We start from the raw sequence: 18,235 nt of genomic DNA, 5'->3' as shown, positions 1-18,235 counted from the left end.
TCAGCCTCCCGAGTAGCTGGGACTACAGGCGCCTGCCACCTCGCCCGGCTAATTTTTTGTATATTTAGTAGAGACGGGGTTTCACCGTGTTAGCCAGAATGGTCTCGATCTCCTGACCTCGTGATCCGCCCACCTCGGCCTCCCAAAGTGCTGGGATTACAGGCGTGAGCCACCGCGCCCGACCTCAAAAGTCTTCTTAACACAGGTCCCAGGGAGCCATTGCTGAAGCTTCAGAGTTTGCACCTGAGATGAAATCACTTTACCCTCATCCCTAATCCAAGGGAGGGGAGTAGAGGGACATTGTAGAGAGCACCTTCTGTGTGCCCAATATTACGCTACGTGATGCAGTGCTCACCGTCGCTCTGCTAACTGGCAAACTGAGCTCTGTTTTATGGTCAAGAAAATTGAGGCTAAGGGAACTTAAGCTCAAACACAGAAAGCAAGAGGGGAAAACTGATTCAAAGCCACCGGGGTGGGCTTTCGAAGCCTGGTTTTTTTCCACCACATCCTGTGGCCTCCTTCCCACTTTCTCCCGCCACCACCCATGTCTGAATTTTAATTGTGTGGGGAAACATTTCAACATCTATTCTCCAACCCTACCAAGCAACCCACATCCCAAGCCAACCCACCTCAGAAGCAAAACACAGGTTCCTCAATCGCCCGCCCCAGTCCCCGGGCTTCCCTGCCTGCCCTGGCCCATTCCTGCTCACACCCACTCCGCATTTGCATATTTCTGCCAACCTCTTCCCTCCTCCCTCCCCTGGGTGCTGGAAGGGGTGACTCTTCCCACTAGGGAGGCATGCCCTGTATCCAGGAACCGCTGGGGGTCCCCTGCTGGGGCCTTTCTCACCCCTCTCCACCCCAAGGCCAAAATGCTTAGGGTTCATTGTGTGGTAATTCCCCAGCGTTCCCTCACAGAGAACTTCATGTCGCTTTCTAATTGAATTGTTGTCATGGAAATCACTTTCATTTGCTCTGAAAGGACTTAACTATCAGCCCCCCGTTTTCTCACTTCTGCCTTTGATAATAATCAGCTCACTCCTACCCCCTCCTCTCAACTCCCAAATCTTCCTTCAATGAGCATTCTTCCCGCAAAGTCTGGAGTCAGGGAAATCAAAAGTCTGGTTTCCTTCCTAATCCTCGCTGGAGCATTCCCCGTGCTGCTGACCGAAGAGTTGTACTATCTGCCCTGAGGACGCACAGTAGGACTCACTTCCTGGCTTCCCAGTGCCTGGGTGGGGTCATGTGACTACTCTGGCCAATGAGACGTGAGCTGTCCCGGCGTAGGGGAGCAGCAGCATCTGCTCCCAGCGCCCTGACATCCCACAGCAAGTGAAGACGGGCTGCTCCTCCGGCAGCCTAGGTCCAGGGGAGGGAGGCAGGGAGCAGAGCCCATGGCCAGGTGCGATGGACACTCAGATTGAGCAAGGAATAAACCTTGTTATTTTAAGCCATTGGCATTTTGACATGCTTCGTTATCCCAGCTTATTCTCACTGATACACCCTCCGTTAAAAGGCGAAGACCAATTAAGTTAGCCTCTTTTTAAAAAATACTTTTTATTTTTTTAATTGTCACATAATAATTGCACATATTTATGGAGTACATAGTGAAGTTTTTATACAAATAATGCATGGTGATCAGATCAGGGTAATTGGCATATCCATCATCTCAAACATTTATTTCTTTGTGTTGGGAACATTTAATATCCTCCTTATTTAACTTCTTTAGACTAAAGCTAGTTTCCAAGAAGGCACTGGCTCCAATTACCAATCCACGGAGAGTCCTACGTTTTTGGAGGATCCCAAGTGTCTGCCATTCGCAGCCTGGGAGTTTCATTCTCAGCTCCACCACCTATGAGCTGGGTGACGAAGGACAGGTCACTTCCTCTCTCTGTGTCTCAGTTTTCTCATCTGTAAACTGAGGGATAAAAGTAATACCTACCTCTAAGGATGGTTGTGAGAATGAAATGAGTCAATCTATGTAGAGTGTTAAAACAGCACCTGGCACATTGTGTAATTTAAGTGTTAGTTATTAATATAATCACTGATACATGTATCATTATCATCTTCATCAAGGCAGGGACTCTGAATTGTTTTAATGGTGGAATTGAGTTTACAATGAACCATCCTGTTAGAGGGTTTCTCAAGACCACTCTCATATGTTTAGTGATTCACTAGAAGATCTCATGGAGCTCAGCATTTGGTTGGACTTATGACTAAGGCTTATTACAGCAAAAAGATATACAACAGGATCAACAAGGGAAAAGACACAGGCAGATTTTGTAGAAATCCATGCACCAGCTTCCTTATATTCTCTCTTCCTCCCATGAGGGTCACACAAAGCACACTCTTCTTCCAGCAAGAAAAACACAGCAACATATGCATGCTGTTTCTGTCCCGGGAAGCCCATCAGAGACTCAGTGCCCAGGGTTTGTATTGGGGACTAGTCACATAGACCCCTCTGCCTAGCATGTACCCATATTCCAGATTCCCAGAAGGAAAGCAAGTGTTCACCATAAGTCACATGGTTTGTACAGTCTAGGAACCAAGACACACACTTATTCAGGGAATAGTCCAAGTGCCAAGCTCCCAAACACCAGCCAAAGGTCAACCCTGTAAGCAGGCCTTTCTAGGGATAACAGTCTCAGGCCTGCTGCATTTATTTTTCTATGCATACCCTTCAAACAGCCCTATAGCCTGGGATGGACCTACCTGGCAATGGCCTTGTATAGACTAATGGAGTCAGCCAATCACAGATGAGGACCCTGGAGCTCAGAAGGACATGTGATCAGCTGACCCAGCTCCTGGTCTCTAATCCAGGGATGGCAAAGGTATGGTTAAATGCCCAAATACCTCCACTACCAATGACCCCTGTCTGTACCCAGCATGGCACTTCTTCCTGTTGGGCAAGGTAGACACAGAAGCTTTCTCAGTGCCGGGCTAGAGGGAGCCATTTGTGCTGGAGCAGAGGTGGCCAAACAGATCTTCCCTCGCTGGGTTACATCCAACCTGGGCAGAGTTATTGCCTCTTAGAGGGTCTTCAGAGAGGGAAATTCAAGAGTTTCTCTCAGTCACTCTTTCCAGGGTTCACCACCTTGAGCAACAAAAGCTACCTCCTTACAACCAAAACAATTCTTTTCTGCTGTATTTTTAAGTTCTGTTTTTTCTTGCAGAGCCTTCCATGGACAGGGAAGGCCAGTGTTTCATATCTTGCCTTTAAAAACCAAACATGAACATTTGATAAAAATAATGGCATAGTTTGCTGGCTTTCTAAACTCTGGGTTAAACACCCCACTCGCTCATTCCCACCCCATCCCCAAAAAGAAGCTCAATGCTCAATACCTAGCCAGCCCTCACTAGTTTATATAAACTTATAACTGCCTGCATACCCATTAATAAAAAATTGGTTAAATGACTCATATTACTCCATTTATCTTAAAAAAAAAAAAAAAAGATGGAGATTCCCATTTTTGACATGGAAAGATGACCTTGATTGACAGTTAAATTTTTGAAATTAAAAACCAATATGAGTTTGTTGCCCTCACTTAAAAACAAGGAGAATTCACATAAAAATCTGGATTTCTTGATTCTCCAGAATAAGGGTCAGCACAGTCTTTCTGTAAAGGGCTAGAAAGTACATGTTTTCCACCTTACAGGCCAAATGGTTTCTATTGAAGCTTCTCAACCCTGGGGTTACGGTGCGAAAGCAACCGTAGACAATATGTATATGAATAGGCATGGCTGCTTTTCAATAAAACTTTGTCTATCAAAACACATAGAGTGCCACATTTGACCCACCGGCTGTAGTTTGCCAACCTCTGCTCTAGAAACCAGAAAGCCAGAGATAGGCTCTTTCCAACACTTCCATCCCAGATCTATCACGAAACAAGCGGCTGCAAGCTTAGAAACCTAGAGAGTCTTGACACAAAACACAACTGGGAGAAGCAGGCTGGTTTTAGGACAACTGGAAGTGGTGGTGACTTGGGCACACTGCAGAGTTCCAGACTTTTCCCATCGGAGAATGCTGGCCCTCTGTGAATAGATCTGATTTTTCTAGAGATGCCAAAAATCCAGGCTTTTACATAAAATTTCTGTTTTTAAACAGTAGCCATTTGTCCAACTTTTTTTAACGTCGTTGTTAGCTCCCCAGAGCTGCCACAACAAATTACCACAAATGGGATGGCTTATAACAACAGAAATTTATTCTCTCATAGTCCTGGGGGCCAGAGGTCCAAGACCAAGGTGTGGGTAGGACCCTGCTCCCTCCAAAGGCTCTGGAGAGGTTCTACGCCTTTCTCTTTGCCTCTGGGGTCGCTGGAAACCCTTGGTGTTCCCTGGCATGTAGGCACGTCACTCCAATCTCTGCTGCATCTTCACATGGCCTTCCCGTGTGTGTGTGTATGTGTGTGTGTGTGTGTGTGTGTGTGTTCTCCCTCTTCATCTTTTTTTTTTGAGACAGAGTCTTGCTCTTGTTGCCCACATAGAGTGAAATGGCACGATCTTGGCTCACTGCAACCTCCGCCTCCCAGGTTCAAGCGATTCTCCAGCCTCAGCCTCCTGAGTAGCTGGGATTACAGGAGCCCACCACCACGCCCAGCTAATTTTTGTATTTTTAGTAGAGACAGGGTTTCACCATGTTGGCCAGGCTGGTCTTGAACTCCTGACCTTGTAATCCACCTGCCTCAGCCTCCCAAAGTGCTGGGACTACAGGCATGAGCCATCGTGCCCGGCCTGTTCTCCCTCTTCATCTAAGGACACCAGTCATATGGGATTAGGGCCCACCCTAATGACCACATCTTAACTTGACCACATATGCAAAGACACTCTTTCCCAACTAGGTCATGTTCACAAGTATTAGTGGTTAGGACTTGGACATATGTTTTGGTGGACATAATTCAACCCACGGTACCCACAAATCCAGCTCATAGCCTTCTGACTCGCAACCTCTACGTTAAAATCGCATGTGGTAAGACAGTGTGATGAAAGACCGTTTGATTAGAATCCAAAGTTATGCCCAAATTGGATTGCCGGGAAGGGCTGCACCTCTCCCTGCCTACCTTTCAACAGTCCAAACCCTCAATCAATTCCTCTCTTCAGACTTAAACATTACACGTGCCTCTTGGAAAGCAAGCTGACTTCACCGGCGCTGACAGTTGTTACTGCACCAGCTGTCAGGGGAGACGCCAGCGCTTCCGCCATTTGACTGACAGCCACACCAACAAGGGTCAGGTCAAGGCCAAGGGCATAGGCAAGCACTGCTTAACAGACAGGCAGCCCCCAAAGGCACGAGGGACTCACACCCACACAAATGCACTCTCGAAGTTACCCCATGGAGAAAAAGCATCCTCTCATTCCCAACTCCACTCCAGCCATTCAGCCTTGACGGACACCCCCAGACAGCATTGAGATGCCTGAAATCAAGCATAGCCCATGGCCTACTCGTCAGAAATCTCATCTAATGATTATTAGAACAAAGTCCGGGATGGATAGTTCCTTTCACCTGGTGGCTTTGTTCTAATTAGCCAAATGCCCAAAACAACTCTCTGCAGTTCTGGTCACTGTGATCAGACCCACAGTCTGATCTAAATGGCTGAAAAATGCTCAGAGACGCACCTCTGTCGTGCAGAGATCAGCTGCTGTCACCAGCTGGAGTCGTCTGACCGCTTCGAGGTCAGAACAGAAGCCAGGGCAGTCACAGTTCTAAGAATAGGGTTTGTCTGTTTTTCCTTATCCTTTATTCAAATATCCAACAGATGTAAACTATATATTTAAATAAACAAAGGAATGCATAAAAGGCACCACTGGCACTGATTTCCCAACTAACTTCTAATGCTCTAGTGGCCAGAGTCAAACACCCATGGATACTGAGAAGATGTTTGTCAATTTTCATTAGTATTTACCTTTAAAAATAATTTTAGGCTGGGCACAGTGGCTCACACCTTTAATCCCAGCACTTTGAGAGGCTGAGGCAGGAGGATTGCTTAAGCCCAGGAGTTCAAGACCAGACTGCACAACATAGGGAGACCCCATTTCTACAAAAACTTAAAAAATTAGCCAGGCATGGTGGCATGTACCTGTAGTGCCAGCTATTCAGGAGGCTGAGATGGGGAGATTACTTGAGCCCAGGAGGTCAAGGCTGCAGTGAACTGTTATCACACCACCACACTCCAGCCTGGGCAACAGAGTGAGACCCTGTCTCCCAAAAAAAACACATTAGCCAAAGGTTTCCAAGGATGCAAGATAACAAAATTACAATAATCTCCAAAGCTAGGAAGGTGGGACATAGTCAACTTACCATCTGTTCAACTCCCACTCACCTTTCAAAACCCACTTCAGAATTATCTTTTGTTTGAGCAGCTTTACCCAACTTCTTCATTCAAAGAAACTCTCCTTAATAATCTGGATATTCCTCCCATCAAAGCCACATCAGATCACTCTCATTTATTTCTTGCATTTCTCCTGAAAAGCATGTCTCCATCAAGGGCAAGGGACTCAGTTTCTTTGATTCCTCAGCCATGATCATCAGGCCTGACACATAATGGGTGCTACCAATAACTTCCTGAAAGAATGAGCTAGGGCAAACACTGCACTGGTCCTATGAAGAAGAAAACCTAAGATGACCTCAAATTAAGAAAGCCAGACTTACACTCCACAATGGGCTAACAGAATATGATTAAATAACAAAAAAAGCTGAATCTACAAACAAATCCTAGGAATTCAGAATCTGGAGTGAGCTGTGAGCTGGGGTGATCACAGAGCTCCGTGGAAGGAGAGAAAAGTCCAGCCCACGTTCCGGGTTAGCTGGGTTTGGGACGGCGCTTTGAATGAGGAAGTTGGGTAAAGTTGCTCAGACAAAAGATAATTCTGAAGTGGGTTTTGAAAGATGAGTGGCAGTCGAACAGATGGTAAGTTAACCATGTCCCACCTTCCTAGCTTTGCGGATTATTGTAATTTTGTTATTTTGCATCCTTGGAATCCTTAGGTTATTTTTTTTATTTTTTGGGAGACAGGGTCTGATCTCACTCCATCACCCAGGCTGGAATGCAGTAGCGTCATCATAGCTCACTGCAACCTTGACCTCTTGGGCTCAAGTAATCTTCCCATCTCAGGTGAATGAGAGGCCGTGGGCATTTAAGTTATCAGAGACGGCATAGCTAGTGGTCTTTAGGTCGCCCTTAGGAGGCACCCAAGTTCTCAACCAACTAAAATAGACAAAGATGTAAGGCAGATGTAGATCAAAATGTCAGCTGTATTACCGCGAAGTTAATATTGGGGAATGCAGCCTGTTCTCCTCTTTGGGGTTCTTCCCCAAATGAACCCAAGTTGGGCACTGAATGATAGTCGCAGGCAGCACTCAATGTCTGAATAGTCTGGCAATGAGCATTGACAATGAGCATTAACAACAATGCACCATGATCGGAACACCTCTGTGTCGCCAGAGCGGGGATCAACCTGGACAACCACTTTGGAAAACAGTTTGTCACCATCTGGCAAAGTTGAAGATGCAGTGAACATATGACCCAGCCATTGTAGACACTGAACCTGGAGGATTCAGGCCTGTCTGTGTTGGGATACACATACAAAAATGTTCACAGCAGCCTTGTTGATTGGAGCAAAGGACAGGCAACAACCCAAATGTCAGCTGTAAAACGGATAAATCCTGGAACATTCCTAGAATGGAAGAGCATACAGCTGTAGAAGGGGGTGAATCACTGCGACACATTTCAATGTGAAAGAGTCTCCCAAATGCAATGTTTAGTGAAAGAGGGGCGGCACCAAAGGACACCCAGAGTATAACTTCACTTACACACCACTCACGAAGAGACCCAAAAAAATAATGTATTATTTAGGGAGCAAACAGAGCAGCAAAGGAATGACGAACACAGAATTCAGGAGAGAGGTTCTTTCTGAGGGGAGAGGGAATGAGACTGGGGAAGAGCACAGAGGGCGCTTAAAAGTAGAGGAGAGTCCAGGCACACTGGCTCAAGCCTTTAATCCCAGCACTTTGGGAGGCCAAGGTGGGTGGATCACCTGAGGTCAGAAGTTCAAGACCAGACTGACCAACATGGTGAAACCCCATCTCTACAAAAATACAAAAATTAGCCCGTGTGGTGGTATGTGCCTGTAATCCAGGCTATTCGGGAAGCTGAGGCGGGAGAATCACTTGAACTCGGGAGACAGAGCTTGCAGTGAGCCAAGATCGCACCACTGCACTCTAGCCTTAGTTGTCTTAGTGACAACAAGAGAAAATTGGGATGTCAGGGGAAATCGAGATATGCTGTTACTGTATGTACATCACCCTTTTACCCTATGTAAAAGAAATAATCTTTTCTTTTCTGTTTTTGAGACAGGGTCTCACTCTGTCACCAAGGCTGTGTGCAGTGGTTTTGATCACGGATCACTGCATCCTCAACCTCCCAGGCTCAAGAGATCCTCTCACCTCAGCCTCCCAAGTAGCTGGGACTACAGGCATGAGCAACCATGCCCAGCTAATTTTTGTATTTTTTGTACAGATGAGGTTTCACTGTGTTGCCCGGGTTGGTCTTGAACTCCTGGACTCAAGAGATCCTCCCACCTCGGCCACCCAAAGTGCTGGGATTACAGGCATGAACCACCACACCCGGCCTGTTTTTCTTAACTAAGTAGTAGGTACATGGGTATTCATTGTATGGTTTTATTCTTTAAGTGTAATTTATAAAGATGATTTTGTATCTATTCAAGTTAGTATTTAAAAAACAGAATTACATATATAGAGAGAGATAAATAGAGATATATGTGTGTTCAAAAGGGCACTATTTTTCTTAACTAAGTAGTAGGTACATGGCTATTCATTGTACGGTTTTATTCCTTAAGTGTAATTTATAAAGATGATTTTGTATCTATTCAAGTTAGTATAAAAAACAGAATTACATATATAGAGACAAATATAAATAGAGATGTTTGTGTGTTCAAAAGGGCACCATGAGTGGAGAACATCTCCAGATGAGGTCACCAGTGGCCCTCCTGACCCCCGGCATCTGACTGTTTGAGCGAAGAATGACATTCAAATGCAAACAGATGAGCCATGCTCTGCGCAGAACACTCTGGAAGTGGAAGTGCCAACATCTGTAGCAGGGATGGGTAATGACCTGCCAGGCAAGGCCACAGTGTTAAATTAATCCCTGATGTGTTGGAGGGTTTTTATTCTTTCATTGGGTCATTTAATAATGTGACGACTCCCTCCTTCCCTCCGCCTTTAGCTCCCCCATTGCCATGGAGACAATTGTGAATCAGCTATCATAAATAAAAATAATCCAACTGCACCCGCCCGCGCCACATGCCACTTGGATGTGGTGCCAACTCGAGTTTATTTTTTTTTTAATCCAAGAGCTCTCAGGAGCTCGAGCAGTGCAGGACATCTCCTGAGGAATGGATGCTATTCAGTGCCTGTTCAAAGACAGGCCTGGGCGCAGGGGATCAGAGGCTTATGCCTGCCTCTTGCCAATCGCTGGACCGAAGAGGGAGTTTTTGCCTAAATGGGAATTTCCCACCCGCTGGGGGACAGGGACGCCCTATTCATCAATATATTCTGCTGCAGAAACTACTCCTGTACCCCTAAATAACCCCCCAAAAGGTATCCCAAGGGCTTTTCTGCAAATGCAACAAATGCAACAATCCCTTTAGCTCGGAATTCAAAGCCCTCCACAGCCCTTTCCCAAGTCCTCCCAGCAATGTGGAAGATGATTTACAAAAAGGTTTTCAGGAACATGGAATCCCACCATTAGAAGGCTATTCCTTTCTTAATTCTCCTGTAATCCTTCTCATAAAGAGAGGAAGCCTCCATCTCTGCTAATGAGTCTCTAACATTTGGCTAATGGCCCTTGTTAGACGGGAGACAGCAGGTCTCTGTCTGAGAGCCTTTGGCAAGCCGCGGTATCTAGCTGGAATTTAAGGTCATTGCTTTGTTTTCATTGTCTTTATTTTGAAGGTTTCTGGCTATTTATGGCAAGTGATACTGGCTTTCTATTTGTGGTAGTGATAGAGTCTGCTTTTAAAATAATCATATTTAAGTAAAAACTTGAGTTGATTTTTAAAAATAGGTATTAAATTTTTTACAATAGCCAGAGAATACTGTAGATATGGTCAAATATATATTATATATTATATGAAGGTAATATATTTAAAAAGGTAATATATTAAAGGTAATGAAGGTAATATATTAAAAAAACCAAAGTTTGGGAAACATGGCCTCTTCATTGTAGCCTTTCTTCCTACCTGTGCACATGCCAGCTGTGCACATAGTAGGTTTGCAATTCAAAACTGTTGAAAATATAAAAGACAATCAGAGAGAGCACCAGAGGTGAGCATAGCTCAGGATAAGCCAAGTACCACCTTCAGATGGGTCTTATCCCATTTCACTCTAATTTTTAAAATTTTTTTACTCAACCCTCATGAATTGTGAGTGCTACAAATACCAAGGGTCAAGAATAGCAGACTCTCAATACAAAACCTTCCACCTCTCCACCACCATACCCATGGCAGACACTGTCAAACAATTGCGGAATTCCTTCCCACGATCAATCATAATGAATGGAATGAAGATCACGGTGTGCTAGAGTCTGCCATTTGTTCTCCAACATCCTTGCAACAGTAATCAATCCCCTGACTTTTGCCAAACTCGTGGCCACTGTGAATAAAAACCACATTTCCATCCCAGTACTTTAGGAAGCTGAGGCAGGAGGATCCCTTGAGGCCAAGAGTTTGAGACCAGCGTAGGCGACATAGTGAGTCTCCTTCTCTACAAAAATAAAGATTAAAAATTAAAAATTAGCAGGGTATGGTACATGGTGGTGCACACCTATAGTCCCAGAAACTCAGGAGGGTGAGGTGGGAGGATCACTTGAGCCCAGGAGTTGGAAGCTGCAGTAAGCTAGGCTTGCACCCCTGCACTCCAGCCTGGGTGATAAAGCAAGGCCCTATCTCTTTCGGGAAAAAAAAAAAAACAACTATGTTTCCCAAGTTCCTGTGCAGGTAAGCATGGCCATAAAGCTAATGCTCCATCTCACTTTCTGTCAGTCCATCTTTTTGCCCTGGCTCTTGCTGTAAGAAGTTGGGCACATGTGGAGCCCCCAAGTACCTCTACTGCACCTCCTACCCGCCCCCCCAACCCCCACAGAGTCTCTGCAGGAGCCTGTTCAGCTCAAAACCATGAGTGCAAGGGATTCAACATCCTGGAGAGCAACCCTTGACCAATGGGGTTTGGCAGACGGAGTAAATACTCCCCTCATCCGTGTCTTTGGTGAACAGTCCTGAGGTGTGTTTCACTCTGCTCCTGGAAGCAGTCTCAGCAGGAGGGAATCCCAAGGCCTACAGTGGTAACCACCTGGGTCATGCAGCCTTGGATTCATTCTTCCCTCCTCTCCTGTTTCCTCTTCCCAGTTGCCCCATTCCACTTCCTTTGAATACATTTCCAAAATAAATTACCTGCATTCAAGCCCTTATTATCAGCTTCCACTTTTAGAGGGAACCCAAGTTAACATAATAAGTTCAGGAAATGGGATATTGTGGGGTACTACATGCAACTTCTTGGAAAGTGGCCTTAGGGAGCAAAGGATCATATGCTAACAAGAGGGAAAATAAAACTTAGCAGGGTAGGATGCATGGTGGTGCACCTGGAGTTCCAGCTACTCAGGAGGCTGAGGTGGGAGGATGGCTTGAGCGTAGGAGTTCGAGGCTGCAGTGAGCTGTGATTGCACCACTGCACTCCAGTCTGGGTTACAGAGCAAGACCTCGTCTCTTAAAACACACACACACACACACACACACACACACACACACAACAAAGATGTGAGATGTGGCATTAGCTTTCTGGCCATGCTTAGCTGCAAAGGAACCTGGGAAGTGTAGCGTTTTTTTTTTTTAAGAGACAGGGTCATGTTCTACTGCCCAGACTAGAGTGTAATGGTGCAGCCTCGAACTCCTGGGCTCAAGTGATCCCCTTGCTCTTTTCCATTTCCTGCTACCTGGAATGTGGGAGGCACATCTGGGACTCTATCTTGGACCATGAAGAGAGACCCACACCTTAGGAATGATGGTGAGCTGGAAGGAACTGGAAACAAAGAGGGTTTTGCCGAGAGGAGCTGCCATACCAGTTCTGGATACTTATTTCTGCGCTTGTATATGAGAGGGAAATACACTTCCGTCTTGCTTAAACCGTTGTTATTTAAGGTCTCAGTTCCCTGCAGCCAACCTAACACATAGGATTTAAGTGATCAGTCATGCTCCGTGCTGGATCCTACTGAACTAGGGAGATATAAGGTGACAGGATGATCCCCGGACACCAGGATTTCTCATTTTGTTTAAACAAGGAGAAGGTTTTTATTCATCCTGGGTGAGAACACAGTACATCCTCTCCCAAGCTCCCTTGACAAGCTGCTGTGCTGAGAATCCTCAGGACACAGGTAAAGAGCTAATTACCAGGCTCGAGTCCCAAGGCAGCTCTCAACAGCTCTCTGATCTTCAAGAAAAATGTCATTTAAACAGCACCTCTGCCAGAGAACCAGAAAGGCTGCCTGCCTCGCTCCACAAAGGGCCTGCATTTGTCACCCTGCTTTCTGCAGCCAAGGAATCATTATTTTTCCTGGTGCCGCAGGAGGAAGGTGAAGCAGCAAGGAGACCCTCCAAGTCCCCGGAATTCCAAAAACACTCAGGGCAGCACCTGGCCCGAGTCACTGGCAATGCTCAGGTGATGAAGTAAACCTAAGGGAAACCAGCCCAGGTCTGCTCGATGAACTGCAAAGTAACTGCAAATATAATCAGAGGTGTATCTGGGAACCCAAGATCCTTCAGAAGAGGGTGTTGCCTTGGGGCGGTTATTATTGAGGCCAAGAAAAACAGCAGCTCCTGCAAGAAACCCAATTAACTATATCAGTTGGTAAAATAAATTCCAGCTTGCTAGTTAACAAGGTAGAAGTTCTTCTGAACAGCCTCTAAGATCAAAAACTAGCAGCATGGTAAGATTGCTGGGGTAATAAGATGCGGTGCTGGGAGACACAAACAGGGATGCTGATTCTAGCCCCCAGCTGCTGTGTGATGCCTGGGAAACCCACGCCCTCTCAGAGCCTCGCTAGTCTTTCTTGTCTTTTATCTTAATTTTATTTATGTTTTGAATGGGTAAAACATTTTCATGTCTCAAACTTCAAAAGATACACGATTCTAGAATAAAATGTCTCCTCCCTTCTGTCTTACACTCAACTCCCCAGAAGCAAGCAACGTTATCAGTTTCTCATGAACCTTGCAAAAATATCGTGTGTATATAAAAGTGCACATATACACACACACTATATTACTTTTTCTTTTTAACATAGTCACATACTATATGCACTGTTCTGCACGTGGTTTGGTTTTTCACTTAGCAATCTTTTATGGAGATGGTTACAGCCAATATATACACTGTCTTCATTTTTCTCACGCTGTATAGCATTCCACTGTATGGCTATGCACCAACATTTATTTACCCATGCCCCTCTTGATGGACATTCAGGTTGCCTCTAGCCTTATGCTACTGCAGGGTTGCAGTGAATAACCTCATGCATGGGTTAATCTGCACAGGTACAATCTCTCTGAATGATAAATTCTCAGAAGTAAACTGGATGAGTCAAAGTGTGTGCATTTGTAATTTTAACTGATAATGCCAAACTCCCCTCCAGAGAAGGTGAGCCAACACTTCTAACACAGTGTATAAAAGCCGAGTCCCAATTTCCTCATTTATGAAGTTGATAGATCCCTGAGCTCTGCCAGTCAGAGGATAACACCATCTCCCTTTGGCATAGCAGCCTTTATTTTTCGTTGTTGTTTCTTTTTCTTTTTGTAGAGATGGAGTCTTGCTAAGTTGCTCAGGCTGGTCTCGACCTCCTGGGCTCAAGCCATCCTCCTGCCTCAGCCTCCTAAAGTACAGGGATTACAGGTAGTGCAGGCACTACCTCACCTGGCTCATAGCAGCCTTTAGAGTAGAGAGCACCAACCAAAGGTCCACAGGCCAAATGCAACTTGTACACGAATATTGATTGGTCCACACTGCATTTCTTACACCGAACCAAGATTGAAAAAATCAAGACACTTCTCATTTTAAAAAAAAATCTAGATTTCTAGCTTCTCTCGAGAAATCAAATCTGTTAACTCTAAGTTGATATTCTCACAGAATAATAAGTGACAGTCACAGATTAGGAGCCACTGCCCCCCTAACCCATGCTCAAGCTCTGTAATGAGCCACAGTCCCCACCACTCCCTATTGCATGCCCCAGCCATGAGTGCGAGTTTCAGTTACCTCTTATCATCCCAACTGCAGTGTTTCTGTATAGTAGAGAAACATTTCTGTGTGACAATGTGCCTATCAGAAGAACAAACCAAAAAGAGAGAGGATGTGACAGAAAATGGCTAATTCTAGTTTCCTTTCTCCCCTTCTTCCTTTTATTCATGGAACCCCCCAACACACAAGGTCGGAGATTACCTTTCCCAGTCTTCTTGCAGCTGACAGTGCCTGCATGGCTCATTTCCAGACTTTGGGACATGAGCCAAAGTGATGCATGCAATTTCCAAGCCACACCCTTTAAAAAGGAAATTCGCGGCCCTGCACTTCCTCACTCCTTTCCCCACCCAGCCTGGAATACACCTATAGAGATGAGGCAACCCCAATCATGACACACAGACACCAGCCTAGGGAGTAACAGAGCAAAGAGATGGAAACCCCTGGGTCTCAGGATGACCTCAGAGATCAGAGCAACTCCTACATGGGGATGGTTAAACGAGAAGGGAAAAAACGGTCTTTTCTGAGCCACTGCACGTTGAGGTCTCCATGATACAGCGCTTGCCACATCCCCAAAAATGGGAGAAAGCATGGTTCTTTGTGAACAAGAAGCATATTCCCAAGTGTTTAACATTCAAATGCCTGGCCTGCTTGACCAGCAAGGCTCACCATCCTGAACTCACCAAGGCTCACTATCCTGGGTCCAATACAATGACTTGCTCACCACTGTGGTCTCACTGGACAGCCCAGCCCAGAGTGCCATGGGACACATTCGCTTTCAAATTAAATGACTTCAAGGCAGTCAGAAAACACAGACTTGACTGATAACTCACAGCCAGACAATCTCATGAGCTACTGGGACTTGGATAAGAAGCCCAAAATCACCCTGATGCTAAAATAAATTCCAAATATCTAATACTTTCAAAAGAAATCATTGAAGTATCAAAAGAAAACTTGGGTAACATTTTTTACAAGTGTGGTGTGGAGAAGGCCTAACCCAACCCAAACCTGACCCTCAGCCCCAACCATGCCAAAACAGAAAAATCTCCAAAGCAGAAAATGCTGTGAGCAATTACTTGATCTCTGTGAGCAGGCCTGGCCTGAGCAACTAGACTTGCTTCCATGCCATTCTGTGTGTTTCCATTTTGACCATGTACATATATTACTCTTAAGATTTTAATTATAATTATGCTCAGTTATAATAAATTGATTTTAAAGGGAAGGTAATACCCAGTGCCCACTGGCGATAGAATGGGAAAGCAGTGATAGATTCACATAAGTCAATGCTCAACAGCAGACCTTGGCAAATGTTTTCCATAAAGGGCCAGAGAGTAAATATTTAAGGTTGTACTGGCCGTTTAGTCTTTGCTGCATATTCTTCTTTGTCTGGGGTTTAATTTTTTAATTTTGGGTTTTTCTTTTTAGGGTCTCTCTTTGTCACCCCGGCTGGAGTGCAGTGGCGCGATCTCAGCTCACCCAGACCTCCACCTCCAGGGTTCGAGTAATTCTCCTGCCTCAGTCTCCCTAGTAGCTGGGATCACAGATGCCCGCCACCACACCTGGCTAATTTTTGTATTTTTAGTAGAGACAGGGTTTCACCATGTTGTCCAGGCTAGTCTTGAACTCCTGACCTCAGGTGATCCACCTGCCTCGGCCACCCAAAGTGCTGGGATTACAGGCGTGAGCCACCACGCCTGGCCTGGGGTTTTTTTTAATATATAATCCTTTAAGCTTAAAAACTATTCTTAGCTCACAAGCTCAATTTGGCCCATAGGTTATACTCTGCCAACCTCTCTGTTCTACAGCAATGAGAATGAATGAGAAGTCACTACTTGTAATAATGTGGATAAACCGCACAGACATGAGTCAAGCAAGAGCTCCAGTCTCATGACTTGTTTATAGAAAGTAAAAAAACAGGTAAAGGGTAAAGGTCATCTATGCTGGTAGAAGGAAGGATGGTGGTCACCTGGGGTCAAGGAGGGTGCTGTGTGATTAGGTGCAGATTGCAGAGGCCCCTGTTTTCATGAGTGTGTTCAGTTCGCAAAAGTTGTCAGGCTGTACACTTGTGATGTTTGTGCCCTTTTCTGTATATACAGTAGTCTCCCTTTTTCCTTGCTCTCACTTTCTGTGGTTTCAGTTACCCATGGTCAACTGGGGTCCAAAAATCGATGAGTACGGCAAAGAGATATGTTGAGAGGCAGAGAGAGAGACCACATTCACGTAATGTTTATCACAGTATATTGTTATAATTGTGGTATTTTGTTATTGTCATTCATCTCTTACTATGTCTAATTTATAAATTGAGCTTTATCATAGGTATGTATGTATAGAAAAAACAGCCTATATAAGATTTAGTACCATCTGTGATTTCAGGCGTCCACTGGGGATCTTGCAATGTATCCCCTGCAGACAAGCGGGGAATACTATATCTACATACAGTCATGCACCACAAAATGACATTTCTGTCGACAACAGACCATGCATACCCTGTGAATTAAAATACTATATTTTTACTATACATGTTTAGAGATGTTTACATACACAAATGCTTATCCCTGGGCTGCAATTGCCTGCAGTATTCAGTACAGTAACAAGCTGTACAGGTTAATAGCCTAGGTGTGTAGCAGGCTCTACCACCTGGGTCTGTATAAATATACTTTGTGATGTTCGCACAGTGACAAAATCACCAAACAGCAAATTTCTCAGAAGGTATCCCTGTCATTAAGTAACGCATAACTATGTATTATAGTTCAATGAAAATTTCAAAAAATAAATGAATTTCGTAAGGAAAGATGGGCTGAGCGTGTCTATGCACATGCGTTTGGGTGTTTGCATTCATGCAAGGGGAAAAGAATGCAGATGGACTTTATAATCGAGGGGGTGAAGGAGAAGCAGACCAGAAAACAAATTAGGCCACTTTAAATTGTGTTTGAGAACAAGGTGTGTCATTTTATTGCAGGGAACTGCATGCTTGCCACGCAACAGTTGTGCACCAGCTGTGAGCTGCTCCACTCTCCCAGACCCAACTGCTTCTGAGACCCCTAAAGACCTGAGCTGGGAACAACTGGTAATGTTCCTCCCACCCAAAACAGTCCATCCCCCATCAACACTCCAGCAACTGGGCCCCAGGCCCTATCTGCCCAGAATGGTCCACCTTGCTTCGCTTGGGCCCCTCCAGGCTGCCAAAGCCCATCCAGAACACCCTACCTTTTCTGACTTCCCGGGACCCTCAAAAGCTTAGTAGAGTGATTGCCTCCAAAATGTCCACATCCTAAACCCCAGAACCTGTGAATATGTTACTTTATAAGACAAATGGGACTCTGCACATGTGATTAGGTTAAGGATCTTGAGATGGGGTGGATATCCTGGATTACCATGGTGGGTGCAACATCATCTCATAGGCACTTATCAGAGGGAGGCAGGAGAGGCAGAGGCAGAGGCAGAGGAAGCGATGTGACGATGGAGACAGGTTGAATGCATGCTTTCAAGACGGAGGAAGGGGCCACAAGCCAAGGAATGCAAGTGGCCTCTAGAAGCTGGAAAAAGCAAGGAAACATATTTTCCTCTAGAGCTTCCAGAAGGACACAGCCCTGCCTTGATTCCATTCCTTAAGAGTCATTTCAGACTTCCAACCTCTAGACAGTAAGATAATAGATTTGTGTGTGTAAGCCACTGAATTTCCAATAATGTGTTACAGGAGCAATAGAAAATTAATACATGGAACACCACAAGTTTTCCCAAACAGCCAGTACCCAGGACTATGTCTGGGCCAAACCTACTCCACAATTCCCTCAGATGGTTGTGACTTTCTACATCTGGTTGGATTTCACCCATAAACCATTAACACAGCCACAGACACTAACAGTTCACATCCAATCACATCTCCCAGGCCACCTCTTGCACCAAAACCCTTGGTTATACTGCACATCTGACTTCCGGTTTGGAGAAGAT

The 18,235-nt window shown here is 45.2% G+C and overlaps 1 protein-coding gene and 1 long non-coding RNA gene across 6 annotated transcripts in view, besides 2 other annotated features; one reads left to right on the top strand and one right to left on the bottom strand.

Moving 5' to 3' along the window:
* The window catches only part of TMEM132B (transmembrane protein 132B), a 475,992-nt gene that overhangs the window by 380,447 nt on the left and 77,310 nt on the right, over positions 1 to 18,235 (bottom strand). For 2 of the 5 annotated variants that reach the window (XM_047428241.1, XM_047428240.1), the window contains exon 1: positions 630 to 876. The exons of the other annotated variants lie outside the window; for them this stretch is intronic. The gene's annotated coding sequence lies outside the window, so the exon portion shown is untranslated. Of the gene's footprint in view, positions 1 to 629; positions 877 to 18,235 lie in introns of those variants that run through there. 5 annotated transcript variants of the gene reach the window in all.
* Positions 165 to 1,027: an enhancer, noted in NCBI's record as "NANOG-H3K27ac-H3K4me1 hESC enhancer chr12:125765450-125766312 (GRCh37/hg19 assembly coordinates)". NCBI's record gives its function as "activates a minimal SCP1, AML or CMV promoter by ChIP-STARR-seq in primed H9 embryonic stem cells {active_cell/tissue: H9 hESC(primed)}" and the evidence as "EXISTENCE:reporter gene assay evidence [ECO:0000049][PMID:30033119]".
* Positions 1,028 to 1,891: an enhancer, noted in NCBI's record as "NANOG-H3K27ac-H3K4me1 hESC enhancer chr12:125764586-125765449 (GRCh37/hg19 assembly coordinates)". NCBI's record gives its function as "activates a minimal SCP1, AML or CMV promoter by ChIP-STARR-seq in primed H9 embryonic stem cells {active_cell/tissue: H9 hESC(primed)}" and the evidence as "EXISTENCE:reporter gene assay evidence [ECO:0000049][PMID:30033119]".
* LOC105370054 (uncharacterized) lies at positions 1,115 to 9,035 on the top strand. The gene is made up of 3 exons (XR_945493.3): positions 1,115 to 1,202; positions 2,689 to 2,831; positions 8,956 to 9,035. It is a non-coding gene; the product is annotated as an uncharacterized LOC105370054 (long non-coding RNA).

The sequence above is a fragment of the Homo sapiens genome, chromosome 12 (assembly GCF_000001405.40).
Source record: "Homo sapiens chromosome 12, GRCh38.p14 Primary Assembly".
Classification (NCBI taxonomy): domain Eukaryota; kingdom Metazoa; phylum Chordata; class Mammalia; order Primates; family Hominidae; genus Homo; species Homo sapiens.
The sequence above is the reverse complement of the archived record's forward strand: the minus strand, read 5'-3'. Positions and strand labels throughout refer to the sequence as shown.